This window comes from Homo sapiens, chromosome 11 (assembly GCF_000001405.40).
Source record: "Homo sapiens chromosome 11, GRCh38.p14 Primary Assembly".
NCBI classification, from domain to species: domain Eukaryota; kingdom Metazoa; phylum Chordata; class Mammalia; order Primates; family Hominidae; genus Homo; species Homo sapiens.
Window position 1 is genome coordinate 119,355,215 of NC_000011.10, and position 26,563 is coordinate 119,381,777.

The window sequence follows — 26,563 nt, forward strand, 5'->3', positions numbered from 1 at the left end:
TGATTTCTCAAAGCTATTATTTATTCTGTACAAGGTTCCACTGTACATTAGACATTCTTCTACTCTTGCTTACACAGTAAACAAGTGTACACTTGCCCTTGGGCTCAGGTTCACAGGTCTTCTCTGGAGAAGGGTGTCAGGCCAGTAAAACTCAGGGTGTCTTTCTCTGATGCCTCCTCCTAGGAGCCTGGAATGTGCCAGGCTCCACGGGGCACAAGCCGGGCCCAGCTGTGTGGGTGAACAGCTTTACTCTCCAGGACAGCACAGAGTTTTATCCAACTATGTAGGGCAAAATTGAGCCCACAGGAAAGAACCATACAACTGAGGCAAGATGTCCCCAAATACCCAGGCTCCAGCTCCCAGGGCAGGACTGGAGACCAGCGCTAAGAAGAGCTGAGGGGTGGCCTGGGCATCCCTGAGAAACTCGGTCCAAAGGGCCTATTGTCTAGGAGGCTCTGAGAAGGGGGCGGGGGCAGGAAGGCCAGGGGGAAAGGGATGTTAAGAGAATAAATAAAAGGGAGAGAAGCTCTAGGGACGAGGGGCTTGTGCTATCCTTCAAACAGCTGGGGAGCAGACCAGGGGTGGGCTAGAGGACGTGGGCGGGAAGAACTTGATGCCCTGTCGGAAGGAATCTACCTGCTTTCTTCTTTGCCTCACTGCAATGCACAACGAGCCAGGGCTAAGGGCAGGATCCCTTTCCCAGGCGGGTTTGAACAGAGCACTGGGGAAAAGGGAAGAGGCTGAGGGATATTTCAGGAGGGGCAGTTACCCCCTGGTCCCCAAATGCTATAAGGCACAATTCTTGGAGGCAACTAAATTCCATTCAAAACATTAAAAAAAAAAAAAAAAAACCCAAACCCCCAAAACAGAAACTTGTTTTAGATCCCAGGTCTACTGTGGCTGTGCTTGGGGCCTGGCCAACGCCCACCTAGCACCACGGAGGGCTAGCATTAGAAAGTTGTACTTGGAAAAGCAATAAAAGGACCAGTGCAACGTCCCAGCTATGAAGAGGCCTGAAGGAGAGCACTCCAGTCTGAACACTTTAGTTATGGAAATTAAAAAAAAAAAGTTGGGCTTTTTAAAAACCAAAACCAGCGTTTTCCAAAGATGTCCCTTCGTCTGTCCCCTGGAGTTAGCAGCGTGAAGAGGGCTCTTGGCTCATGGCTCTGGACCGGCGAGCCGTGCGGGTGGAGATGGGCGCCGGCTCCTCCGCGGCGCGGGCGTCCAGGCGGTGATGCTCCCAGCGAGCTCCAGAGGGCGCTGTCCCCTCGGAGGCGCGGGCGCTGCGGCGGGAAGCGGCGCAGCGAGGGTCTTCCCCCCCAAGACACAGTTGTTTCTGACACATAGGAAGACCACAAGTTTACAAATGCAAACGCCGAGGGCACGGGGCGATGCTGGCTCCACGTCCAGGCGATCTTCCCTGCCGGGCCACAGCTCAGGAAAGCCCGGCTCCTTGCTCCAGACCCTGATCAGGCTGCATCCACTCCTGCTCGGCAGCTTCAGGTTTGTTTTTCTCTTGTCAGGTTTGTGTGTTGTTGTTGTTGTTTTGTTTTTGTCTTTTTAAAAAATTTAGGGAGCGGGGCCACCACGGGGAAGGGAGAAGGGACGTGGCTCCTGGCGCTACATTCGGGAGGGCGGGCTGGCCAGTTCGTAGAAGAGCAGGTAGGCGTCGCTGGTGCGCACTTGGCTGGAGGACATGGGAGTGACGCTGCGGAGAGAGCGGGGAGTCAGCCCGGAGCGGGCAGGACCGGGAGACCCCCCGCCGGCTTCTTTCTGTGCCCCCGAGGCCGGCCGGCCTGCCTTTCAGGGAGCCTCCCCACGGGCAGCGGCTTCGTGGCCTTAAACTTTGCCATCCATTCTCGGTGTAAGCCGTGCGGGGGGTGGGAGGGGGGTGGGTTTGGGGGGAGGGTGGAGGAGTGGGGGGAGAGTGGGTGGCTACAGCCAGGGGCTCCGGCCCTGCCCTGGCTCTCACCTGGAGTCGTTGAAAGTGTGCCATTCTCCTGTCCCTGGACTGCGACAGTAGGCTGTATAGTGGCCACCCATGGTGGTTCCGGAGTGATTGGACACAGCGTACAGGTTGTAAACAGCATGGTCTGAGGAGGAGGCAGCCGTCAAGCCCCCGAGGCCCCCCTGCCCCGACTTCCCCCCTCCAACCTCTCCTTCTGGGTCTCTCAGTAGCTGGTGCTGGCAGCTCCCCTTCCTCCTGCCCTCCCTCCGGCCTTGCACACCTGCGTCTTCATTCTGCCCTGCCTACTCAAAGATACTCACTGGTGTTTTCTGAGGCAAATTCTCTTAAGTCCAGGTCTCTTAGGGGGAAGTTCACAAATGTTGTGAGCTTGCTGGTTCGGATCCTGGATTCTGAGAACCGCTTCAGATCTGGCATTGACGTGAGTCAAGGATAGTCAAACCAATGCAGAAGGGCAGACAACAAAAGGAAAGCCTACAAGGTCCGTTTCTTCCGACTGTTCCCCTCACCTATGGGCCCCTTGTCATCAGTCACCCTTGAAAGTCATGTCCCAGCCCTGATGGATCTTAAGGATACGGAGCACCAAGATCTTTGGGAACCTCTGGATGGAGAACTTCTTTATACACCGTTTTCTGCCTCGGCAGCGACAGCATGTCTGAGAGACAAGACAAACAGAAAGAACTTGTGGGGAAGTCAGTGGGCCCCAATCCAGTCACTCCTCAACTGGATCTGCTGGTATCAGCCTCTTCCCAGTAGGTCCCACGGAAATTTGTTCTTGCTATTACCGAAGGGTGACTTACTGGCTTTTCATCTCCATCAAGCACATCCTCTTTGGTGAAGAGCCTCATGCAGTCCATTAATGTCACCTCAGGATAACCTCGCTGGGAAGGGGAAAAAAGCAAAGGTCAGAGGTCAACATGAAAGGACAGGAGAGGGAGTTCAACAAGGCGGGCAACTGGGGTGCATACCTTAGCAATGGGCAGTGAGAGGTCCCAGAAGGGGTCGAAGACCGTAGAACAGTAACCACAATCTGTACACGTCAGCGAGCTCTTTAGCTGCCCAACAAAGAGATCTGGGGAAGAGAAGGCCATGAGATGCTGAAATACAGGAAGTAGAGCATGGTCTTCTGCACAGCAGCTTTTATTTTTTTTTTTGAGATGGAGTTTTGCTCTGTCCCCCAGGCTGAAGTGCAGTGGTGCAATCTCAGCTCACAACAACCTCTGCCTCCTGGGTTCAGTGATTCTCCTGCCTCAGCCTCCCAAGTAGCTGGGATTACAGGTGCCCACCACCATGCCTGGCTAATTTTTGCATTTTTAGTAGAGATGGGGTTTTGCCATGTTGGCCAGGCTGGTCTTGAACTCCTGACCTCAGGTGATCTACCCGCCTTGGCCTCCCAAAGTGTTGGGTTTACAGGCATGAGCCACCATGCCCGGCCTGCACAGCATCTTCTTTCTTGCTGTTCCTGCTTTGCTTTGTTGAACACTAGGCAGAAACAGGCTTCCCCGGGAGAGTGATTCTTAGGGCTTTTCATGCTCCACTCAGGCAAGAGCAGGCAACAGTGAAAACAGGCATCTTCCCTTTCATGCGCTTACCCCCGATCCTACTGTCTTCCCGTTCTAGATATTTTCTCCACATCTGTCGGCCTTTCTCGTCATCACTGGGAACCAGAGAGAGACAACAATTGGGTCAAAGCTCAAAACTTAAGTTTAAGGGTCTGTCAATTTTGATCCTTCATCTTCAAAAGTAAATCAGATTATTCCCAAATCATTAACCCCAAAGTGGTGGGTAAAAATCTCGAGTTCACAAAAGTTTTGCTTTCCCACAGCATTCTCCTCTTACTTACGGAAGATGATCGAGGTTCTCAGGGTTGGACTTAGGTCTCAGTGTCACTCGGTTCACCTCGTTATGGAGCCCATCCAGAAGAAAGCGAAGGAACTCCTGAGCATCCTGCTGACTGAACCCAAAGGAAGGAGGGTGAGCAACACCTCTTGTCCTAAGAACCTGCTCCTACTGCCACCCACCTGAGAGGACATGTCTGCAAGGCCCTTACTTATAGCCAACAAAGCGCGGTGCGTATCTCTGGATCTGGGTCTTGAACTCAGATGGGCTCACCACATCATTGGGGGATGAAGTCCATATGGTCTGAATTAGTTTTGCAAACTCTATTGGAAGGAGAGAGTGTACAGGACAGCTGAGATATTTTCTATAAGAAACTCTGAAACTAGAATCCCAACAAAAAGCAAGCAGAGAAAGACAGACAGGATAGGAGTGTCTAAGACACAACACCTAGAACAGCCCCAGTGGAGTGGAGGAGCATCCGGGGGTAGGCAGGGGCACATGACAGAGGGCCTCTCACCTTCCACGAGGGCTGTGTGTGCATTGCTGCCGTGGTGCAGGTCCCGCATGTAGAGCCTCTGGAGGCAGTAATCTCTCAACTCCCGAGTGTTGCTCAGGCACTGCAGAATTGAGTTCATGAAGCACTGCAAGAGATGACCAGGCAATCAGTGGGGAGACGAGAGTCCCACCTTCACCTGTGTTACTTACTACCAGAGGCTCTCTGGTTCATCTACCTAGAATCCTTTCATAGGAGGCTATCCTTTCATAGCCTCAAGTTCCTCTTTTCATAAGTGAAAGGGGTGAAGTGAGGCAAACCCCCACTCCAGGCATAGGTGACCTAATTGGTTATTTACTATAGAGGTGCACAAAAGGGCGTGATGTGATGGACAGAAGTGTGTGGGAAGTGATGGGCATCCTTTAGGGGAATGATCCAGGAGAGGAGCAGGCTGATGGGTAAAAGGGCAACTTCCTTTTAGCAGTGCTTCCTGCTGGGGGTGGGTAAAGCACAGCCCAGCAATTCTGTGAAACACCAGCCAGGAAGGGCAAGTGCCAACTGGCTGAACGGGTAGGGAGTCAGCCACAACCAGAAGGGGACTCTGGTTATATGGCTCCAGTCAGCATAGTAGGGGGTGGGCCTGGGGAAGAAGCAGGCCAGGAAAAACTCACCGTGTTCCCAAGGTTTCGAAGACCAGCCAGACCCTGGGCACTCTTAGAATTCTGTAAGCAAAGAACATATGGCAATAAGGTGGAAGCAAAGATGCTAGGCCTGTGCTGGGCTCTCTCGTGCAATTTCTAACCAGCTGGAGCCACAGGCAGCAGGCCACACATAATATTCTTTCTTCAACTTTACCCATCTATGTACTTTGTAGGAAAGAGGATTGAGGAATGCCTGTGATTTTCTTTTCTTTTCTTTTTTTTTTTTTTGAGACGGAATCTCACGCTGTCACCCAGGCTGGAGTGCAGTGGTACGATCTTAGCTCACTGCAACCTCCACCTCGTGGGTTCAAGCGATTTTCCTGCCTCAGCCTCCTGAGTAGCTGGGACTACAGGTGTGTGCCACGATGCCCGGCTAATTTTTTGTATTTTTAGTAGAGACAGGGTTTCGTCATGTTGGCCAGGCTGGTCTTGAACTCCTGACCTCAGGTGATCCACCTGCCTCAGCTTCCCAAAGTGCTGGGATTACAGGCGTGAGCCACCGCGTCCTGCCTAAATGCCTGTTATTTTCAACAACCAACAAAAATATTCTTCAGGGCTTTATTGAGTGTGTATTGACTATGTATCTCCCTGCCCCCCATCTTTATGTTATTCTCTATTCTCTGCTACAGTGGAGACTAGGAATTCATATATTTGGTACATATTGACTCCTTACTATAAGAAATTTTGAGTCCCAAATCCAGGTGCTATCTCAAATGACCTATATTTGTACTCCTAGAAGTCCAATATATAAAGTAACTCTCATAAGAGACACTTTGAGGAGGTTTTGAAAAGTTAAACAACAAAACACCTTGAGTTTCGATCTTCAGTTGGGAAAAACTCAAGTAAGCCTGCCATTCTGAATTGCCAGAGACAGGTGGAATTCCTTCCAGCTGAGCTCAGCTCCTAAGGGCTGATTAAAGACTCGGAGAATCCTCCCTGCCTGGCTCAGGTTTCAACATCCTGACTGGCCACTGTCTGGGAATCCTGGAGATGGCAGATTGGGCCCGCAGAGGCAAGGGCCTGGCTGAAATTGCCACTCTTGCTGTTGGCCCTATAGCGGAGGCGGGTGAGGGGGTTGGAGAGAGAACAGGTGCTGGATCGAGGACTCTGAGCTTATTTGTCAAGGTCTCTTGGCTAATCCTGGGCATATCTCCAAGGAGTCAGAAAACCTTCAGGCTCAAAGGGTTAAATAAACAGTTTGCAGATGAGTCTGCCACCCCCTCTCTCAGGGAGGGGACTGGGAGCAGGCAACTCTGGAGCAACACTGGGGCATGCGTGGGGCCAGCTCAGCCCTGATCAGAACAGGAGCCTGAAATAACTCAGCTAAAATTACTCATGCCGTGTGCTGACAGCCTATGAGGCTGTCAGCAGCTCAAAGCCCATGAGGTTGTCAGCTGGGGGGGAGGGGTGTGGGTGGGGGAGGAGCAGGCTGAAGGAGGGCTTTTCTCAAGAACTGCCTTACCGATCCCACAAGTAAGAGGATCCCTTCTTGGCCAGCTGTCAGGGCTAGCACTAACAGGTAGGGAAGAAAAATATACCCAGAAAAGAGACCCAGTTTAAACCTGCAGCTAGAGAGAAAGGCCAATTGGCAGCAGGTGGGATATAAGCATCCTTAGAGAACTTGGCTAGGGCTGGCAGTATATGGCCCCACACAACATCTGAATCTGACTTACTGACAGTCAGCAAGAGGGCCGCAACAGAGATAATTCCCTGGGACAAAGACCTTCTCAGCATTTTCCAGAATTGGTGAAACGCTGCAAAAGTCTCCATGTTGCGCACTCGGAACTAAATGTTAAAGCTTGCCCACAACAGAATACCCACCCTTACGTCTATTTTTGGCAGTGCTTTATTAGTTCTTAGCCCCTGTGCCTCAGATGACATCTGTCTAAACAGGCTGTAGGGGAAAGCATTCTACCACTGGTGACCGTGTCAATGTTCACCAAAGCAGGCCCTCAGCTGAGACAACAGTCACTCAGTGCTAATGGGGGTAGGGAAATGGGAAAACGGAGTCATCTGTCTACAGAAGCACTCCTGTGGTGTTTTAAGATGTTGACACTTAATTCTGACCCAGCAGTGAGGGGCAAGAAGGACACTTCGTCACCCACGATTACTATTCTTGAGGATCTAACCCCTCTATTGGCCTGGGGGGTGGGGAGATGGGAGAAGCTCCTTTAAGGCATCCTTAGGACCCTTGGTTGTTATGTTTTAGGGTGGGGGTTGATGCCTTTGTCTAAAATTTCCTCAGCTCAAAACCACATGCCAGTTTCTAGGTGCTCTGTGTAGAAGGCGGGTGGATAACAGGAGTGGGGGCGACAGAGGAGGGGGAGCAGGGCTGCTCCATGCCCAGCCAGATATTCTTCTGCCAAGAATAGGAAATCAGGAGCTCCAGGGAAAGTCAGCACTTTTCATTACAGAGGGGAACAAAATGTCCCCAGAGTGACCTTTCTTACAGGACAAACAATCCTACCTCAGGGTCGACAGGGAGAAAGGGGCCAGAACTGCAGAAGGTGGGAGACCCTGCACAGCCAACCTCTTTCGGTGAAAGCCAGAGAAGGAAATGACCCCAAGTGTTATGCTGGGACACATGTGCAAAGAGTTGAGAAAGTTTGGACCCAGTCTTCCTTCCATTCAGCCATCAGCAAACCTAGTTTTGACTCAGTATCAAGCACTGTTGCAGGGAGCAGATGGCACCTTCACCATCAGCAAATAGACAGCTTTCACCTTCTAGAGGAGAGGAGCGGGGGCTCAGGAGAGCCCTGCCTGGGTTAATGCAGAGGTAGCATCTGGGCACCCTTCGGTAGGAGAGGCCGAGGTTTGTGTCTTCACACTTGAGACCCCAATCAAGGGCTTTCCCGCCTACCTCACCTGTGTGGTGAGGGTCGCCCCAAGTCCTGGCTGCAGCTAGGAAGCCTGGTGTGGCCCTGGCACGGGGCAGGGCACGCACTGCCAGCACGGGAGCTGGTGCCTGTTACATAAGACCTGTCAAAGCTCGGGCCCCTTCTCCCTTCCCCAGGCGGGCAGCGCCCAGCCTCGGCCCCGGCATTCCCCTGGGGGCTGCTTCCGCGGAGGGACCCGCTGCCCGCTGCATAAATGGAGAGGACGGAAAGAAGGGGAAGTTGCCCTCTGTCACCTGTCTGCACCTCGTCTGCCCTTCACAGGGTCAAAGGACCCCCGTCACCAACCCTTGGGAAAGAGCCCTTGGTGGACAGTGAAGGGGAGGCGGCCCCTTTCTGCCCAGCCTTCCTCGCCGGGGTTTGGCCTCGGAGGAGTACCCCGGCACGGTCCAGCGTGCTGCCCTCGCACACCGATCGAGACCCAGTCAAGGTTATGCTTTCCTGCACCTGTCCTGATAGGTGCCAGGAATTGAGAGGCCAAGAGCCACCACCTGGTGCCGGGGCCACCGAGAGGGAGGGGGCAAGGGGGACTTCCTCGGACCTCCACCCGGGGAGGGGACCACGAGTAAGCGTGCGATCACCTGAGGAGGGGGCATTCCTTGCCAGGAGACCCTGGGAAAGGAGGGGTGGGGGCTGGGAAGAATCCGTCCCCTCACCTAGGGGCGCGTGGCGGGCAGAGGCCAGGGAGAAGGCGGGACCCCAGGCCCTCGGCGCGGGGGTCCCGGAAAAGGGCCCGCGTACCTTGGCTTTGTTGAGCAGGAGCCCCACGAAGGTGGAGAGCAGCAGGGACGGGGAGAGAGGGGAGCGCGGCCGCAGCTCCTTGGCGAGGGCGGGAAAGGGGGCGGCGGGGGGGTCCTCGGGCAGGGTCACGGTGTACGAGGTGCGCATGCTGGGGGGCGGGCGGCGGGCTTTGGCCCTCGCTTAACGTTGGCAGCGGGGGCGCGGGGGGAGTCCCCGCGCGGTGCCACAGTCCGGACGCCGAGGCCGGCGAGACCGCTACAGGACAGCGTCCGCGGCGCCCGAACGCGCGCTCCTCCGCCTCAACCTCCCCGGCGTGCGCCGCCAACAGCCCGGGTCCCGGCTCTCGCGCTCCGGCCGACTGGCGGCCCCGCCGGCGCCTCGGGCCCCGCGACGTCAGCGCTGGGGCGGGGCCAGGCCCTAAGCCCCGCCCCACCTCGCCTCTACCCCGCCCCCGGCGCCGGCACGCGGACCCGAACGAGGCGACAAGGTCGGTCCTCCCCCGCCGGGCCTTCCCCGCGCTCCCCGGCGCCCCCAGCCCGCTGACCCCCGGCCAGGCAGGCCCGCGGGGGAGGCAGGACCGGAGCCCTGAGGCCCTGGCCGGCCTCGGGGTTGAGGCTCAGCTCGGGATAAGTGATCTTTGGGGCCCGCAGAGGACGTCTCCCCAAGACCCAGTGGCAACCGGGTGAGCTTCCCCCAAGGCACCATTACACTTCCTAACTCTTGAGGGGGCTGCAAACCATTTTGAGAACGTGATGAAAGCTCTTCTCTCTTCAGGGCGAAATACGTATATGCACAAACTTTTGTCTAGAGTTCCGGGGGTACTCAGGCCTTCGTGAAGACCCAAACTCATGCAGTCTGTGGAGGTCAATGTGCCCAGGTTAAGAAGATGGACCTTCACGGCCTAGGGGCTGAGCTGCCCTCCTCAAAACAGTCCTGTTTGGCTTCTTTCAAGAGAGGCAGTGCTCATGTTTTATAAGGTCCAATAGGTCACCTTCTCATTTGGCTCCTGAAAAGAACCTTTTCTGGTCTCTTCTAACCAATTACCCAGCTCCGGCTCTCCCATTCTCAAATTTGACTTGTTTTGGGGAGCTGGGGAGAAAGCAATACAATAGTGGGGAAATAGGCGCTCAGCTGGCATGGGGCGAGTGTTCTACTCTGGCGTCAAGCACAGCCATGCTGGAAGATCAGGGGTCTTTAGATTTCGTTTCTGATGCCCCACCCCTCCACCTAACAGGGAAGCTCACGAATCTGCCTAGAGAAAGTATCTTGTTTGGAGCTTGCTGGCTATTTTTAGCCAGTATTTTTAGCATTTAAAAATACTCCAAGAGGCAGCAGTGTATGCTGTTACTCATCTGTGGGCTCCTTCTGTTCCTTCTGGTGTGCTCATCCCCACATGTACACGCACACATGACCACAGCTACATGGGGACTGTGTCCAGGACACACGTATGGCAGTACCCCAGGCCACCGACAAAGCAGCAATTTCATGCTAATGAGAGAGGGATGGGGACAGTTGCCCCCTCCCCTGTGTGCCAGCAGTGTGGTGGGAGGAGGGGGCAGGGGACAGGAACCACAGGCAGTCTGCTTGTGATCAGTGAGAGTGGGCATGTGAGGAGTGGTGATCTCTACAGTCACTGTCCTCACCCAGACTCTGACTGAATCTGGACCCCGGACAAACTGCAGCAGCCTTTCTCCAAGCCTCCTTTCCAGCCAAACGCTTTCAAGCCAGCCCTACACCATCTGAAGCAATGTTTGCATCTGATCTCATCACTCTTCTGTCCTGAAACAACTAGAGCACCTGCCCTTGCATCCAGCCCCGAAGCCTCAGGTAGCCTTTCTCTAAGGCTGTTTGTCCACAGGCCCACCACCCTCAGTCTTTGACCACTGCTGTCAACCAGCCTGTGCTTATCCTCTGCTGAAAAACCAAAACTGCCACTCATTAAGTACTTATTAGATCCCAGGCACTGGGTTAAGGGTTTTATATATATTATCCCAGTTAATTTCTATAACATCATGCTGTAGTAACTATTACCTCTATTTTATTTGTTTTGTTTTTTTTTTTTTTGAGACGGAGGCTTGCTCTGTCGCCCAGGCTGGAGTGCAGTGGCACGATCTCGGCTCACTGCAACCTCTGCCTCCCGGGTTCAAACAATTCTCCTGCCTCAGCTTCCTGAGTAGCTGGGATTACAGGTGCGCACCACCACGCCTGGCTAATTTTTGTATTTTTAGTAGAGACGGGGTTTCACCATGTTGGCCGAGCTGGTCATGAACTCCTGACCTCAAGTGATCCGCCCACCTCAGCCTCCCAAAGTGCTGGGATTACAGGCGTGAGCCACCACGCCCGGCCTATTACCTCTGTTTTATAGGTGAAGGACCTTAAGCCTAGAGAGGTCAAATGACTTTCCAGGACTGCAAAGTTAATAAATGACAATGTGGGGCTTTGTCTTACAGCAAAACCCATGCTTTTAACAGGAAATTCTGGGATGTACTTCCTGCTCTCTGCCAATTACCTACTTGTAAATTCTGCCTAAAATTTGCATCTTCCAAAAGCCTTCCCTAATTAACTCCACCCATCTCTAAACTCTCCATTACTGCATATCGTCAGTCTATGCGCATTCAGTTTGCATGGTGTTAATCTATCTTAATATGTTTATCTTTGCTTTATAAGTGTTTCAAAGAGTCCTATAAATGGTCTTGTGTGTGGCTTGTCTTGGTTTTGCCAGCACACTGAAACCTCCTCAAGGGCAGGGTTGTGGGTTCTCTTGGTGGGTTCTTAATAAATGGTGTTGATCTTGTCTCTAAAGAGGGCCAGACCAGGCTCTGCTAGGAATCCTGGGAGTCACACTAAGCCTCAGAGGGTGGGGTGTGAGTCTGCTTTTGCATGTTGAACACATGTGCTGCTGGGCTTGGGGGGACCTGCCCAAGAGGTGCTCACCCACTATAGCATTTGGCCTGTTTCCCCATGACTTAGACACAGTGATGTAAGCACTCCCACCCAGGACATCTGGGTGTTCTGCCAGCTTGCTCTCCCTCTTCCCTGGGATTTAGGAGGTTAGAGGGGTTGCCAGGAGCAGGGAGGGCCAGATGCAGAAAGCTTTAGCGTGGGAGCACTTTGAGAAGTCTGGGGTTGGGGGAAAGAATTCACACAGAGTCCAGTCTAGTCAAGCAGGTCCGACTGCTGCAGGACACGGCCACAAAGGACCTTGGCTCATCTCTCGGCCAGCCAGGTCTCTGTGAGACCCTTTCTCTTCACTGCCATTCTCGGAGTGGGATGGATACAAAGGATAGAGGCTTCTGGCATCTGAATCTGGCTCTGGCTCAGTGACTCTCTGTGCTTCAAATACACAAAGCTAAACTGAGCTGGGCTCATTCCTGCATCCTGACTGCCGTTCCTCAGAACCTGGGCTTGGCCTGCTTCCCTATAGGATAAGTAATTTTTGTCACCTTAAATCCTTCCTGGCATGAGATGGAGTGATATAAATGAAAGTTAGGGCTAGCTCTATGAGGGCGGGGACTGAGAGTATTCTGCTTCTCTCAGATCTGCGTGGGCAGCTTAGGCCAGGGTTTGGTGACACTGCTGGGGCTAAGGCAGATGTCTTAAAGCCTGGCTCCCAGCATGTGCCTGCGATTACCACCGCAAATGGACAGACCGGTGGCCTGATTGATTGATGGATGAAAAGGTAGGGGCTCTGAGTCCTTGTTAGGGGTTGGGCTTTTGCCCCACAGTGCACCTTGGGGAGAGAGGGTCAGCCCATCCTCCCCACTCTCTGTAGGAAGGTCTGCTTCCCTGCATGACGTGGACCCCAAGAGGCCAAAAGCTCTGTGCACCTTTGAGCCCAGGCAGTCTGGCCTGAACCAGCTGGATTCCAGAGGCCCACACACCTCCTTCTTTTGCATGTGTCTCCGTCTGGGGCGCTAGTTTTATGTACGTATTGAGGTGAGAGAGTACAAGGGGCCACGTGTGCAGCTTTGGGCTCTGAACATGATGTTCATTTCTGCAGCTGGTGGTCAGTGGAGCGGCTCCCCCAGGGGCAAGGAACATTTTGCCAGGCTTGGATTAACTTCTGCATTGCTGAGCCCCACCCCAGCACCACATTAACTCATGAAGACATCCTGGAGTGGGGGTGGAGGAGGAGGCGGGAGGATGGTGCTGGGCACCGATTGAGAAATTGAGCCTGGATAAGGCAGTACCAAGGCTAACGGCCAGGATACAGCCCACAGCCGGTCTGCAAGGGATGGAGACATCAGTGTCTTGCTGATTCTAGTCACAAACCGCAAACCCACTGCCCTTTCCTTCGCAGCAGCTAGTACAGCTCCTGGCCAAGGGGCCCCTCTGGCTTAAGGTCCTTTAGTGACCTTCTCATGCTGCCAACACAGATTCATGACCTCAGGAAGTTCAACCTCCTTAGGGTGGCTTAGTGATCCCGGGGTGGGAGTAGGTAAGGACAGACCCCAGGATCTCAGGCTGCCAAGCTAGACAAACAAGGCAGCAGGGATACAGGCCAGTGTGGCTGCGTGAACGGAGCGAGAACATGAGGGACGAGAGGCGAGTTGTACTTCTCACCTAGGAGCTCCAGGACAGCCCCTGCTATCCGCAATTTGTTCTCTTTGGAGTAACCTCCGCTCACTGCAGGGCAGCATTCAAGTCCAAAGTCCCACCCCAGGGAAAAATCACATGACCTCAGCTTATATAATCTCCCTGTCACTGAACAGCTGGAACCCAAGGCTTCGGAAGATGAGTCAGCAGCCCCAGTGGCAAATAGGACCCAGGTATTCAGTTTCCCAGACCTTTTGCTCCTAGAAACAGGTCCTAGAGCGGAGGGCAAGGGTGTGGAAGAGACTGGGTGGGTGAGAATAGGCTGGGCCAGACTCTGAGCCTCAGCCCTGGCTCTGCCTCCGAGTTGCAGGTGCCCAGCTTGCTGACTGTGCTCTGGAGGGCCCTGGGCCAACCCCTGGATCTTCTTGGGGAGAGGAGAGGGTGGCCTGGGCAGGGTGGGGCAAGGGCTGGGCAGAGGCCAGCGGGCAGAATGCCAGGGCTAGGGAGGAGCAGCTGGAGGGGTGGAGCTGAGGGGGATTAGGAAGGATTGTAGGGGTTAAAGCGCAGCCCTGGCAGGGCTCAATGGGAACAGCTCGTCCTTCCATAGACCCCGGGAACAGGAGAAGTGGGGCAGAGTAGGGAGATGACAGGGTTGGGACTGGGGCTCCTGGGTCTCTGCAGGGCTGAGCCACCTGAGCTGGCTTGGAGTCCCCACTTGGGTTAGTGAACACTTTTTTTCCACCATCACTGTTCCTCCTCTCTGCATTTTAAGCAGAAGGTGAAGTCTCAGGGGAGGCCCTCATTATACAAGTGCTGAGCTGCGCCCCCCTGGCCTGGCATTTTGTTGGTGCTTACACAAGCATGGGGAGGGGATAATTCTGAATTTATGTGGCGCCCCCTGCCACCCGCCCCTGCCCCCCGCCAGCTCTGTGCTCATGCTCAGCTGAGTCTGTGATATTCAAAGTTCGTGTTGCCTATTACTGTTAATGAGGGAAAGAAGTCTGGCTAGAACTGTTCTCCCTGGTCACAGCCTGCTGTTGACCTCCCTTAATGAATGCCAGCTGTAGCTCCAGTCAGCTATCCTGAGAATCCCCTGGGACACAGGATGTACTTTTTTTTACCTCTGTTTCTCCCACGGGGTTGGTGGGGAGGGGGCTTCCTACTCTAGTCAGCTGCCAAACGCCCCCTTTCTATGATCTCTTTTCCCCCCTTAAGTTTAAATGACCTCTTCTGCAGCATTTTATTGATTTCACATTCCTCCACCTTCATTATTTGCTTTGAGCCTCATGGCATGCTTGAGAGGTGGGCAGGGCGGGCGTGATTGTTCCCTTTTATAGTCTAGGAAATACAGCCCAGCTGATAGGTGTCCAAGGTTAGAGAGGCCAACTGTTCCTTCCACTGGTCACGAGCAGCCCGTCCCAGCCTCAGATGACCTCTCCCTTTCCGTCCACCTGTGACACTCAAGAACACCCAGGGCTGCCTCCCATTGTACCTATTTAAGAACTTCTTCTTGGCCAGGCGTGGTGGCTCACACCTGTAATCTCAGCGCTTTGGGAGGCCGAGGCGGGTGGATCACCTGAGGTCAGTTCAAGACCAGCCTGGCCAACATGGTGAAACCCCGTCTCTACTAAAAATACAAAATTAGCCTGGTGTGGTGGTACACGCCTGTAGTCCTAGCTACTTGGGAGGCTGACACAGGAGAATCACTTGAACCTGGGAGGTGGAGGTTGTAGTGAGCCGAGATCGCACCACTGCACTCCAACCTGAGTGAGACAGAGCGAGACTCCATCTCCAAAAAAACAAAACAAAACAAACTTATTTCCCTAAGTGAATTGTGAAGGCACTGAAGGCAGGGACTGTTGCTCGCACACATCTCTTGCCTGCCAAAGCACCAGAAGGGTACAACAACGAGGACTAACATTTACTAAGCAACATGCCAGGCACTTTCACATACATTATCTTTTCATTCCTCAAGTAATCTGTGAAGTGGGAACTATGATCACTCATCTTACAGAGGAGGACACAAGTTCAGAAGCTAAGGGACCTATCTGAGGTCACGCTGCTAGTAAGCTGAGCACCACAAATGAGTGCCTCAGAAGGCAAGATCCCCAGATGGAGATCTAGAAAGAAACTGGACCCAGTTTTAGAAAGAAGTGGTCCAGGCCGCACGAGCAGGGTTGTTCTCACCTCAGCAAGACGCACTCTGCTCCAGGAAATGACGATAAGGGGTGGAGAGATCAGGGTGAGGTTAAATAAAGGTCTTGTACTATTGACCCTGGAGAGGCCTCTGCTGGTTGGCAGTATCTTCTGGGGCATGAGCTCAGAATGAAACACTAGCTCAACTGCAGGGCATTCCCGGCTAAAGTGCCTTATGAGTTGCTTCTGGATGAGGGTGGCTGAGTTTGTCCCAGGGCAATCTGCCACTTCTTTGAGGTCCTCTCTCAAAATTCCCTTCACCTTGGCCCTGGAGCCGGGGGGAGGAGCCAGGGTTGTCCCTTCTGGAGAGTTGGAGGGCGGCAGACTCCCAGGAGGGTTGGGCCATGCCTGTGTGGGGAGGAGGCAGATTCCCAGTGGAATCTGATCCCCAGTAAAGGGGAATACTGCTGTCATGATTGGGGCTGAGGGTGGGTCTGTAGTTTAGTCTGCGCTGAGGTTTTCCATCTCAGCATGCCTAGAGATCACCCAAAGAGCTTGTGGAAAGAGCAGCTTCCCAGGCCCCATCCCGAGAGAGTTTGCTTCAGTGGGTTTGGATGAATCGTTAAGCCCTGCAGTGACTCTGACACAGGCAGTCTGCAGACCCCACTTTAAGGAGCACTGCTGACCATGAAACAACCCTTCTCTTCTGAGCAAGGGGAGGGAGCCCCGCAGAGGCTTCTAGGACCCGAGCCCCTCCGAGGAGAGCCATATTCTAATTGCCCTGGGGTTGAACAGCACCAGCCGAGTCCAAGTGAGTCCTGCTCCACTCCAAGCCCAGCACGCAGCACCCTGAGAGCTGATACTTCCCCACCATGCCAGCTCTGTTGTGACACATCTCTCTTCTCCACTCCTTTCTACAGTGGATCCAGCCCTGCCTTGTCAAGTTCTGAATGTTCTGGGAGGCACCAGCGTTTCTATCTCCTGTGCCACTTCACAGATGGCACAACAAAGCCAAGACTCCCTAAGTCATATTATCAAAGTTGCTCTCTCAAGACCTTTAGTTATGCAAGCTTCAAGGTCCTGCCCCTATTCCTGAACCCCTGCTGCATTTGTCTGGATCAGCCCTCCAAGCAGTATTTCTTGCTGTGGCATGCTGTTGTTTTCAAAATGTATTTGTCCTAGGAGTAGGGAGGGGTACATAAGGTAATGGAGGAGACACAGCATCCAGCCCTTCTGCCCATATGCTTGCCTGTCCATCTGTCCACCCGCCATCTACCCGTGTATCCACCCACCCACCACCCACACATCCATCCATCCATTCATCCCTGCAATCAGCAGGTCAGCCCCCATTGTGGGAGGCACGTGGCAGGGGATCTAGAGATAGGATTTCTTTTTCCTCCTCTGAGAGCTTGCCACCTAATGGGCACACTAATAACTACAGAAAAGGCAGATGTCGTCAGTGCCCCAAGAGAGGCGTGTGCGGGCATTAGTTGGCGAGCGAGCCCATGCCAGCCCTTGGTCAGTCTCCAGCAGAGCCTCTTCCCTCATTCCAGCTGAGGCAGGGCTGGAATAGAGGTATTGGATTGTCTCAAGCCCTAGATAAAAATTTCTCCCCTACTTTCTCCAAAGCCAGATGATAAGCATTGCTGTCTGATACCCTGGTCCTGAGTATGCCAGTGTCACTCAGAGGAGAGTCCCTCTTCCCCTGATGTCTTATGTCCAAATGTAAAGCCAGGCCTTGGGGCTAGGGAATAAAGCCTGCACAAGAGGGGAGATGCAACCACAGCAAGGAGGCCCTCCTGCCACAGGGTGCACTGGTGGTCTGGGCCCCCCCGCATCCAGCCCAGGTTGGGGCAAGGCCTGCAGGAGACACTGGCATGTCACATAGAAAAGGAGAAGGTGAGAAGAGTGGTTCATTGGGCGCAGCAGAGCATTCCTGAGAACACTACTGGACTATCCTCGAGTGCGCGGGCCCTGAGTGGGCTTTCTAGGCAGAGTGGGAAGGCCCCTCCCCTCGGCACGGAGCCCCAGGGGCACCAGATGTGCCAGGATGACTTCTCTTGTTTGTCTCCACCAGGAGCAGCCTGTCAGTCATCAGTCAGGTTGGGAGTCGAGCCCTCAGCCTGGCTGTTCTCCATCAGTGGCTGCCTCCCCAGCCTATCCCCGGTCCCCAAGGGTAAACTCACCATGCCGTCTCTTCCCGGGGAGCTGGAGCGGCTGGGCCCAGGGGCCTGACCCTTTCCCGTCTCCCACAGCGTGTAGCGGCCAATGGGTCGGTAGGTTGGGCTGATGATTTCAGGGACTCGTGAGGGAGGGGCCTGGGAGGGCACCTGAGATGCACTGCCCTTGCGACCATAGTTCTCCAGGTAGTCGACCAGGTATTCAGGGCAGCTGGCTGTCTGGTAGAGCCCCTGCAGGGTGCAGAGCTCCTTGCGCGTCCGGGCCAGCATGGGGCTGCGGCCCAGGTTCCTGGGGTCTATCCGGTAGCTATCTGAGGTCCGGAGGCTGGAGAAATCCCGGGCCAGGTCTGATTGGCTGTCCAGCTTCTGGGTTAGGGTCACCCCCTGGTCATAGGCATTGATGGGCAGGTAGCTGAGGCAGTTGTTGGTCACTCCATAAGGGAATCCGCTGCCCCCGCTGAGGCCACTGCCTAAAGGCCGCTCAGTACCCCGGGTCTGGCTCTCTGCCCGCTTACCACCCCCAGTGATGTCGGGTCTCAGCAGGGGGCGGCCCCGGTCATAGTCCAGGAGGGAGGAGGGGCCATAGGTACGGGGACGGGTGAGGAAGCTGCTGGTGGGGACCGGCTTGAAACCAAGTTTCTCCTTCTCCAGTAAGGAGGCAGCCAGATTGGCCCCATAGGAGGACGGGGTGTAGGCACCATAGCCCGACTTGGCATAGTGGGCATCTGTGTAGCGGGCCGATTCTGTGTAGCGCTTCAGGGTGGAGGAGAGCTGGGACATCCTTCAGGGTGGCACTCAGTGGGGACTGGGAGCCTCATGGGCTGAAAGACAAGGAGTGTAGTTGTCAGAGGGCCCTGCCAGGTGTCGGGCTCCCACAGACCTGCTCCCCATCCTCAGCTGGGCCAGAACCTCAGAGCTCCCAGTCCATTTCCACAAGAGGCAGGCTGGCTGCTGAGAAGCACACATGCACGCAGGTGTGCACAGGAGCTTGCTTGCACCTGTGTGTTCACACCTCGGTGAGAGTGCGAGGGATGAGGTGGCTTTTATATGCCACACAGGAAGTCAGCGCATCCTGGCCATTCAAAGACTCAAACACGCAAGCAGGGGCTATCTGACCTCCACAGCCCACCAAGCCGTGCAGTCTTCCAGGTCAAATCCCATTGCCTCAGCATCTGCAGAAACTCTTGAGCTGGGGGAATGCCACTGACCCCTGGGTTGAGAATGCTGGATATTTCAGGAGTTAAGACCACATCTGTCCCTTCTGACTTATGTGATGAGCAGGTGTCTTTTTGGAATCCTAGACTGTCTGTGCTGGAATGACCTGAAGATCATTTGGTCAGATCCCCTGTGAGGCCAAGGAGGCTCAGGGGAGGAAGTAATGGGGTGTGGGTGGGCAGGGGAGGCCGTGAGTGAGCATGCAACAATGAGGGGCCAGAACGTGGTCTCCAGACCCTTTCCCCAGACACCAGCACCTGCTGCATGGTCCCACAGTGAGGGACACTCACTTCACTGAGCTAAGCTTCTGTTCTAAGTGGAGTTAGGGCCCTGTGGCCTCCTAAGAGTTCCTCTACCAACACAGGCTTCCTCTACAAACACAGATCTCAAATTGGTCCTGGCGATGCTTGTGCAAAGGGGGCCCCCTACAGTCCCAAATCTTGCACTGCAGGTGGCATTCCCAGTCCTTCCCTGCTCCAGTCCTGCAGCTGGGGAGGGTCTAGTGAAGGAACACAGACACTGCTGAATGTGGAGCTTTGAGAGCCCCAGAGGATCATGAATTTTAATCTATCTGTTATACAGATGGGAAAAGTGATGCTTATTTGCCCCCGGCCACACACCAGCAGAGCCAGGACTGGAATCCAGGTCTTTAAAATCCTGGCCAGTGTTCTTTCTACTTAACCTGGAGTTACCTCCCCCGCATCAGATTTAGGGTCAGTTGGGGACCCCCAGAGGCCTTCCATCACCGTAAACGTGCAGCCTGTATCCAATGGAGCTGGAGTGGCAGAGGAGCAAGTAGGGTCAGACGCCTTTCCCCGAGGGCATCAGGGGCTCTTGGGGGGCTTTCTAGGGGGATGGAGCAGAGCCATCCAGGACTCTCAGAGTTGTGGGACTTGCCCTGTGATGGACTAGCTGGGTGATTTTGCACTAGTCACGTAACCTCTCTGAGCCCCAACTTCCTCATCTGTAAATGAGTAAAACCATCATCCTCATAATTCCTACCTCACAGGGCTGTTGTGAGGAATAAATGAGATAACAACACGTGAAGGGCTCCACAATGACAGTGGCTACCATCTCCTCCCCCAGCTACTGCGAGGCAGCATGGCTCCGCCCTCTGAAGGTCTGTGATAATATCAGGGCTGGCTGTCTCCCAGCCTGGCCAGCCTCTGGCCTCAGCTTGGGATGCCAGGCCTCCCCCTGCAGCCCCCAGCGAGAGAAACAGGCAGTGGGCAGACATCTGGCCACTCAGCAGACACTGGCTTGGCAACCCAGCCCATTAGGGCAGAGAGGAGCTGGTGCCAAACCCCAAATGCGAGGGCTTGGCAGAAAGCTCTAGAATCCCAGTCCACACAAGGCTTTGGGGTAGGTACAGGGGTGAGAGATGAGCAGGTGGCTTCCATATAGGCCCGGAACAGCATTCCTTGACCCTGCCTGAGAACTCCAGCAGTTTTCAGTCCAGGCTGACATCAGAAAGGCCTGGTCCATCTTACTGTCTAGCCTTTTGCCACCTGGCCCAGGGGGCCCCTGGCCCTTCATGTACACTCCTTTGCCCACTGTGCCCAGCACAACTTTCACCCCTTTCTAGGAAAAGGTAACTGGGGGATGATGTCACACAGCGTTAGAGGGAAACCATAGCGGGAGAGACAGACAGAGGCACAGGGTCGGGGTGGGGGCCCAGTCCTGCCCTATTTTGCTTTGGAGAACTCCATCAATAATGCAAAGTCAAAGAGACTCCAGGTCTCAGGAGCTGGGCTCTGGGACACCAGGCAGCCAATCAGATACAATCCCCCCAACAAGGGTATGAGCTCATGGCTCCTCCCCACAGCTCTCCCTCTCCCTCCCCCACAGTAAGGCTCTCAGGGAATTGGTATTCTTCGGGCAGCGCCCCAAGCCCGTGACATCCCTTGACCCTGCTGATGACGCAGAAGTGCTGGGGCCAAACGAGGTCCAGAGGACAGGGACAGACAGCTCTGAAAGGCTTTGGAGCCGGAGGTGGGGCCACATCTCTGGCCCACAGATTCCCAGGAGGGCTCCCAAATCCCCACTCTCCCTCCCATCTGGCAGGTGATTGCCAGACCCCTCCGCCTCCTCCTAGCAGCCCTGGGAGTCATGCCATCACTAATACTCCATGGAAGCTGCCTCTCGGCTCTGACTTCTAGCTACAGTTCCCATGCCTGCGGAGAGGGTTCCTACTGGGGCCGGGGCCTTCCACATGTCTCTCCCCTCCCGCAACCCCCAGTTTCACTCTCAAAGGTCCTAGCACCTTCCAGGTGAAAGCACAGCCTGGGTTGGTGCCCCTTGGCATTACCTGCACAGCTGTCCCTGGAGGCCACAGAATGCACTATGGGCAGGAGAGCGGGCTGGGGCCCTGGCCGGAGTCTCGCTGCGCAAGACAGGGACAGGACGGGCACTCACGTGGCTGCGAGTCTCCCTGTTGCCACAGGAACAGCCTGAACTGAATGGCCCTTTCATGGGGCAGTGGGAGGCAAGCCAATTGGCTGGGATCCCCCATACCCCTCCCTGCCCAGTGCGGGGGGCCCCTGCTGCCCAGCTCCTTTCACTGTTTACCCAGAGCTGGCAAGTACAGGCATGCAGCTCCAGGCAGCGCCTCTCCAGGTGTCCGCCACCTTGGACAATGGGGGCAGTCCCCTGCCCAGCTCCTCCTCCTGGCCATCTTCACTGAGGTGTCCTGACCCTTCCTTCTCTGTCAGAGATTCCTGTTGCTTTGCTCAGTTTCCCTCTCCTGGGAGGTGCAGCAGAGTTCCTCTGCACAGAGGCACTGGGCTTCCTGTCAGGGCATCTGAGCCAAGCAGCTGTCACCCCAGCTGGCTGGTGCTGATCACCTCTGAACCAGGCCCCAGGCATGTTGAGTACTTCACATGCAGCTTCTGAGTCCATCTTCTCTGCAGTCTCACATCAGCTCTCATCGGCCCTTGCCATGTGACGCATTCTTCTAGATGTGCTTCATACACAGAGCACCCCAAAAAGTCTTAGTGCAGGTTTAAGCTGGGATTCTTTCAGACATAAATGTCTCCAACTTACACACCTCTTTGGACAGATTAAATTATTTAAATTAAAATTTAAAAACATTTTCACAATTAAAAAATAAATATACAAGAAATTTAAATATGGAAACTTTCAAATGAAGTTTTTAGCATTCATATTTCTGAAGTTATTAAAGCTTAAAACTGCACTAAGGCTTGGGACACAGTGCATTAACTCACTGAATCCTCCCTGCTCCTTTAAGCGGTAGGTGCTGTTATCACGTCCATTTGCAGATGAGGAAGTTGGCGATGCTGGGAGTGATGTGGATTTCCCAAAGTCACACTGGGAGCAGTGGCAGAGCTGGGCTGGACTCGTGCTCTGTCTGCTATATCTGGCCTGAAGCCCAGACCCCTGCTTCACTCTTCCCTGGCTCTCCATGGGACGGGTCAGGACTGGGACCTGTGGGTGGGGTTTGAGGGAAGGACCACCACAGGATCCAGGTGTCCGTCATCCAGTAACAGCATGCGGTGTACAGACTCTGGCAGGAGCAGCCCTCTGGATTTTCCACTGCAGGTGAATGAAAGTGAAGCCAGGTGCAACTCGAGCCCCAGAACAATACTGATAGGCCGAGAGATGGTCCAGGAAGCCTCCATTTCACCCACTGTGCCAAGCCCCTGCATGTCCCCTGGCACCAGCATCTACCCCAGCTCGGGGCCTTGGGTCCCTGGCCTGGTTATGAGCAAGTCCCTAGCCTCCTACCCTGGCTGCAGCTTGGCCCACTCCTCAAGGTACCCATGCTGGGTGAGTCAGGGGTTAAAATGAACCCTGTCCCCGTGGGGCAGCCAACCCCTTTGCTTCAGCCACTGTCATTTCCTGTTGCTCACATGAAGGGCTCCCTAACCTGCCCAGCCAGGGGAGGGACTTGCTCCCCAGGAATTCCAGGCGCTCCTGGCCCTGGGGGCAGGGGATGGGTGATGCCCCACATCCCAGTAACCTTCATGGCTTCTCTCTGCCCAGATCTGCTTGGCTTTCTGGGGTGAAAGCCTGCTTTGCTACTGGGGCCTGGATAGAGAGCCTCTAGCTGAGTTTCAGAAGCACGCCTAAACAGGGTTAAGTCTCTTCCCTCCTACTCAGGTGCCCGGAAAAGGTGAGTGGGGAGTCCCAGCCAGTCCCGCCAGGTGGTTGGGAGCCCCCACAGTGGTGACCTCAGAGCTTCCTAAAGCCACTTGCTAACAGCATCAGAATGTGCTGACCTTGAAGGACAAGGTGGGTGAGAGGGGGCCCTGTATCCTTCCATCTGCACTCTGACCCTGCCTCCCAGCTGCTTGGGTCACCTGCTGCACTATCTGGGCACAAGTGTCTGGTCCTGGAGGATGGGATGAGGGAATCCTGGCAGGTGTAGAGGACATGGGTAGAGTAGGGGATGGGGGGGCGGGGGCATATTTATGCTCAAACAGTCCTTGAACTCCGCCTACTCCTCTCAGGCCCCAGGGCCTGGGCTGGCCTCCTCCCCTCCAGCCTGTCACTAGGCTTTGTCTATCAGGGGCTAGCACCCGCTGATCCACCAGCCTAATCCTCTTGCCTCCCCTGGCAGGGGGTCATCCAAGGGAATTTGGGTCCATTTCTCTTTCTTGTGCTCCCAGTAGTTACCCAAGAGCTGGGGGAGGGGAGGAGGTAAGATAAAGAGACTGGAGATTAAGGCAAGAATCCTGACTGGTGGAGAAGAAGTGGATGGGCCCAGGGCAGTTTCTATAGGGTGCTCCTTGATTTGGGGTTGTGAGTGGGTGGGCATCTATACACTTCCAAGACAAGGCAAAGAAATGGGCCTCCAGGTAGTATTGGGATCCTTAAATTCTCTTTTCCAAGCACCTCTGCCCAGGTACTCTCCTGGTGCCCCCTCCCAAGGGGAGAGCCCCGGTCTCCTTCCTTCTCCTCTAGGGCGTCATCTTTCCTCTGTTCTCAGCCTCCGGAGGAGCCTTTGGTCTTGCCCCTGACACCCACCGGGCCCAATGGGGTGGCCTCTCACATGCTCTCCCAGATTCACTGATGTCTTTCCTCTAGGTAGAGTCCCAGAGAAGCTCAGATACCAAAGGGGCAGCTACTGACCTGTGTCCAGGGGCACTGGATGGGAGCTGGGGGCTTCTCCTTCCCCAGCAGGGCAGGGAATGCAGTGGAAAGCCCAGAAGCTGGAGCCTGACTCTGGGCTGGGTAATCCGGAGCTCAGGTTACTGACTCCGATATATATAGTATCTTATCTGACCTCGCAGACTCGCAGAGATGGCGAGTGCAACTCACTTGCATTCCAAGCCCCAGGAGAATTAAAGGGGCAGTGGCGTGCTCACCTTGAGGGGCTGCCCTTTCGGGCCAGTGCCAGCCAAGGAGGTCTGTGAGGACTCTTGGAAGGGGGGCATTTTGAAGGGGAACAATCGGGAGATTCAAGAGGAAAGAGCATTGAAAAGAGCACAGAGGGGTGGGGGTGGAACTTGAGACAAAAATATGGAGAAAGTGGATTTTCCAGAGCAGTCAGTCACAGAATTAGAGAACAGGAAGAAGCCATACAGTTAGCCCCACTCTTAATTTTGAGATAGAGTAGACCTAGAGAAAGAAAGCAGCTTGCTCAAGGGCATGTGCAGATAGCGAGAAGCAGAAAGGGGACTAGTACTCAGGTTTCAGTCCAATATTCTTTTCTAATGGACTTCTAGGCCTGGGATTGGAGGCTAGTTCTTTCCCTTATTGGCTCTGAAATAGTGGATAAGTCACTTAAGTTCTCTGAACCTTAGCTATTTAATCTGCAAAACGGGACTAATAGTAATAATAGTGGTCTATCTCAGTTGTGAGGATTAAATAAAATAATATTTGTAAATTTCATGGCCCATAGAGTTCAATAAACATTGATGATTATATTGAATACTTCCACTTCTTATTATAATTAGTGGTATTATTAATAATAGCGCCTTACCAGGTGAACCTTCCTAGGGAGAAAAGGAGGGTTACTCCTGGGGAAGTGTTCCTTTCTCTTTTTTTTTTTTTTTTTTTGAGACGGAGTCTCCGTCGCCCAGGCTGCAGTGCAGTGGCGCGATCTTGGCTCACTGCAAGCTCCGCATCCTGGGTTCACGCCATTCTCCTGCCTCAGCCTCCCGAGTAGCTGGGACTACAGGCTCCCGCCAGCACGCCCGGCTAATTTTTTTGTAATTTTAGTAGAGATGGGGTTTCACCGTGTTAGCCAGGATGGTCTCGATTTCCTGACCTTGTGATCCGCCCGCCTTGGCCTCCCAAAGTGCTGGGATTACTGCACTTTGAGCCACTGCTCCCGGCCGGAAGTGTGCCTTTCTAATGCCAGAGAACAGTCCCTTGGTTTTCTGAACTGACCATGTCCCATAACTGGGAAGGGCAAACAAGGCTTGCCATCTTCCTAGACGTCCAGTCCACCAAGCAGAGAAAGGCCAAGCCCATCTGGGCTCCTTCCCCCTTTGCCTAGAAAAATACGGCAAGTGCAGCTTCCCCCAGGCCACCAGGAGAATGCTTGGCCCCTCTGGGGTGGTTCCACTCTACCTGTGGGAGGGCTCAGGATTCCAGGGCCACAGAGCCGGGCTGGGCAGGGTCACAAGAGGAAGGAACGGGGTTCTTAGCCTCTCTGGCCTTGGTGCACTTGTCTGCTCCCAGGACGTTTCTCGATGGCTCTCCCCGAGGACTGGGAGTACCCAGCCTGGTGCCTCCACCCTGTCTTAGCACAGGCTACTGACTCAGCCCAGGTCCTAATGATGCACTTCAGAGGACGCCCTCATTCCAGTCCTCATTCTGACTCCAGTCTGACATGCATCTACAGCATCAAAGGAGGGGGCCTGCCTCGACCTTAGCCCAATCAGCTCTCCTTTCCTCTGCTTTACGGGGGTCCATCTGGGGGATGTTCTCATGCCCATTCCAGGGGAGGTGAGCAGCCCCTACCACTACCTCCAGCTCAGTCCCATTCTAAAGGCAGCCAGGTCAGGAGGTAGGATGTTCACTCTTCAGGGAAGGGCTAGAATGGGTTGGCTAGGGCTTCCCTTGACTGTTGAGAAGTTGCTCTCTCCGGAGCACCGCGTGCCTGCTTCTGGTTTGGGACTGGTGAGAATTTCAAAGCTGCCTCTTTCTGGTTTGGGATTGGTGGAAAATCTCCCCTTCCGCTTAATTGTTGCCCAACCCCCGCCCCTAACCCCCTTTAGCAAACTGACCGGGGAGCTTTAAGAGCAGCGAGTGAGCTGCACGCACACGTGGGGAGGGGGTTTGTCAGTGTCGCTCAGGCCACATACCACCGATATACACGGGGCACAGCGAGGAGGACCCGCCAAAGCAGCATTTCCTTAGAATACACTGATCAGCACACAGTTGGCTCTTCCTGGCACCCTGGGCTGTCAGCAGGCAGCCCTCACACAACTGGCAGACACAGCTGGAGCGTCCCTGCACAGCCGGCTCTCTCCCTATATTTCTAGTGTCCACTCTGCCCAGAATGTCGTGGACACCTTACTTTCTGAGCTCCAAACCGGCACTGATCCCCGAATCCCCCCTCCCGGATCCCCGACAGGTGGCACGTACCTGCCTCTTCTTGGAGTATGGACGAGTCGAACCGGGCACAAGCATGGAGCTGCGGGTGAGTCCCGGCTGGCGCTGGCGCGGCGCAGTGAGCACCAGCTGACGAAGAGGGCTCCCCGGCCTCGGCTCCTGCCTGACTCTCTCCCACCTCCGCCGGGGGCCCAGAAGGGACCTCCCCGGGAAATCGGCGCCACCCAGCGGGCAGCCGCCTCATCGCGCCTGGGCCGGCAGAGCCACACCCCGCGTCTCGCGTCACTGAGTCGCGTCACGGCTATTGGCTTGTTCCTACTGTGGCGTCATTAGAGCCC

At 54.6% G+C, this 26,563-nt stretch overlaps 1 protein-coding gene across 6 annotated transcripts, besides 11 other annotated features; it reads right to left on the reverse strand.

Moving 5' to 3' along the window:
* Nucleotides 1-26,476, reverse strand: USP2 (ubiquitin specific peptidase 2). 6 transcript variants are annotated; one of them, NM_004205.5, is made up of 13 exons: nt 26,259-26,476; nt 17,493-18,307; nt 4,970-5,020; nt 4,323-4,446; nt 4,017-4,128; nt 3,810-3,920; nt 3,559-3,623; nt 2,935-3,038; nt 2,767-2,847; nt 2,543-2,621; nt 2,269-2,376; nt 1,973-2,093; nt 1-1,708 (listed from the first exon to the last, which is right to left on the reverse strand). In NM_004205.5, the coding sequence occupies exons 2-13, from the start codon at nt 18,264-18,266 to the stop codon at nt 1,621-1,623; spliced, it is 1,818 nt and encodes a 605-aa protein (NP_004196.4). In that variant the 5' UTR covers nt 18,267-18,307; nt 26,259-26,476; the 3' UTR covers nt 1-1,620. The 6 variants fall into 6 exon arrangements, with proteins under 6 accessions (NP_004196.4, XP_005271778.1, XP_005271779.1 ...); XM_005271721.6 differs by lacking the exon at nt 26,259-26,476 and adding an exon at nt 23,793-23,853; XM_005271722.3 differs by lacking the exon at nt 26,259-26,476 and adding an exon at nt 21,010-23,853.
* Nucleotides 2,610-3,809: an enhancer, noted in NCBI's record as "BRD4-independent group 4 enhancer chr11:119228534-119229733 (GRCh37/hg19 assembly coordinates)". NCBI's record gives its function as "activates an origin of replication core promoter dependent on BRD2, P300/CBP, MED14 and CDK7 cofactors, and independent of BRD4, by STARR-seq in HCT116 cells {active_cell/tissue: HCT116}" and the evidence as "EXISTENCE:reporter gene assay evidence [ECO:0000049][PMID:35650434]".
* Nucleotides 4,434-4,483: an enhancer, noted in NCBI's record as "active region_5630". NCBI's record gives its function as "activates an Ori minimal core promoter by ATAC-STARR-seq in GM12878 lymphoblastoid cells {active_cell/tissue: GM12878}" and the evidence as "EXISTENCE:reporter gene assay evidence [ECO:0000049][PMID:35858748]".
* Nucleotides 8,962-9,151: a silencer, noted in NCBI's record as "silent region_3980". NCBI's record gives its function as "represses an Ori minimal core promoter by ATAC-STARR-seq in GM12878 lymphoblastoid cells {active_cell/tissue: GM12878}" and the evidence as "EXISTENCE:reporter gene assay evidence [ECO:0000049][PMID:35858748]".
* Nucleotides 13,211-13,355: an enhancer, noted in NCBI's record as "145 bp enhancer 223 fragment used in the MPRA reporter construct; PK_construct_1737". NCBI's record gives its function as "activates an SV40 promoter by MPRA in HepG2 cells {active_cell/tissue: HepG2}" and the evidence as "EXISTENCE:reporter gene assay evidence [ECO:0000049][PMID:23512712]".
* Nucleotides 13,211-14,157: a biological region, named in NCBI's record as "HNF4 motif-containing MPRA enhancer 223".
* Nucleotides 13,227-14,157: an enhancer, noted in NCBI's record as "H3K4me1 hESC enhancer chr11:119239151-119240081 (GRCh37/hg19 assembly coordinates)". NCBI's record gives its function as "activates a minimal SCP1, AML or CMV promoter by ChIP-STARR-seq in naive H9 embryonic stem cells {active_cell/tissue: H9 hESC(naive)}" and the evidence as "EXISTENCE:reporter gene assay evidence [ECO:0000049][PMID:30033119]".
* Nucleotides 13,277-13,290: a transcriptional cis regulatory region, noted in NCBI's record as "HNF4 motif; enhancer activity is reduced when this motif is scrambled". NCBI's record gives its function as "necessary for full MPRA enhancer 223 activity {active_cell/tissue: HepG2}" and the evidence as "EXISTENCE:site-directed mutagenesis evidence [ECO:0005528][PMID:23512712]".
* Nucleotides 17,746-18,246: an enhancer, noted in NCBI's record as "H3K4me1 hESC enhancer chr11:119243670-119244170 (GRCh37/hg19 assembly coordinates)". NCBI's record gives its function as "activates a minimal SCP1, AML or CMV promoter by ChIP-STARR-seq in naive H9 embryonic stem cells {active_cell/tissue: H9 hESC(naive)}" and the evidence as "EXISTENCE:reporter gene assay evidence [ECO:0000049][PMID:30033119]".
* Nucleotides 21,113-21,691: an enhancer, noted in NCBI's record as "H3K27ac-H3K4me1 hESC enhancer chr11:119247037-119247615 (GRCh37/hg19 assembly coordinates)". NCBI's record gives its function as "activates a minimal SCP1, AML or CMV promoter by ChIP-STARR-seq in primed H9 embryonic stem cells {active_cell/tissue: H9 hESC(primed)}" and the evidence as "EXISTENCE:reporter gene assay evidence [ECO:0000049][PMID:30033119]".
* Nucleotides 22,008-22,596: an enhancer, noted in NCBI's record as "H3K27ac-H3K4me1 hESC enhancer chr11:119247932-119248520 (GRCh37/hg19 assembly coordinates)". NCBI's record gives its function as "activates a minimal SCP1, AML or CMV promoter by ChIP-STARR-seq in primed H9 embryonic stem cells {active_cell/tissue: H9 hESC(primed)}" and the evidence as "EXISTENCE:reporter gene assay evidence [ECO:0000049][PMID:30033119]".
* Nucleotides 25,554-26,543: an enhancer, noted in NCBI's record as "H3K4me1 hESC enhancer chr11:119251478-119252467 (GRCh37/hg19 assembly coordinates)". NCBI's record gives its function as "activates a minimal SCP1, AML or CMV promoter by ChIP-STARR-seq in naive H9 embryonic stem cells {active_cell/tissue: H9 hESC(naive)}" and the evidence as "EXISTENCE:reporter gene assay evidence [ECO:0000049][PMID:30033119]".

Bases quoted from the DNA above. Each gene is read 5' to 3' on its own strand.
- USP2 (NM_004205.5), bottom strand. From the start codon at position 18,266: ATGTCCCAGCTCTCCTCCACCCTGAAGCGCTACACAGAATCGGCCCGC. The intron at 5,021-17,492 runs GTGAGTTTACCC...CTTTGCTTACAG, and splicing joins CCCCGGGAAGAGACGGCATG to AATTCTAAGAGTGCCCAGGG. The intron at 1,709-1,972 runs GTGAGAGCCAGG...CTCTCTCCGCAG, and splicing joins CACACTTTCAACGACTCCAG to CGTCACTCCCATGTCCTCCA.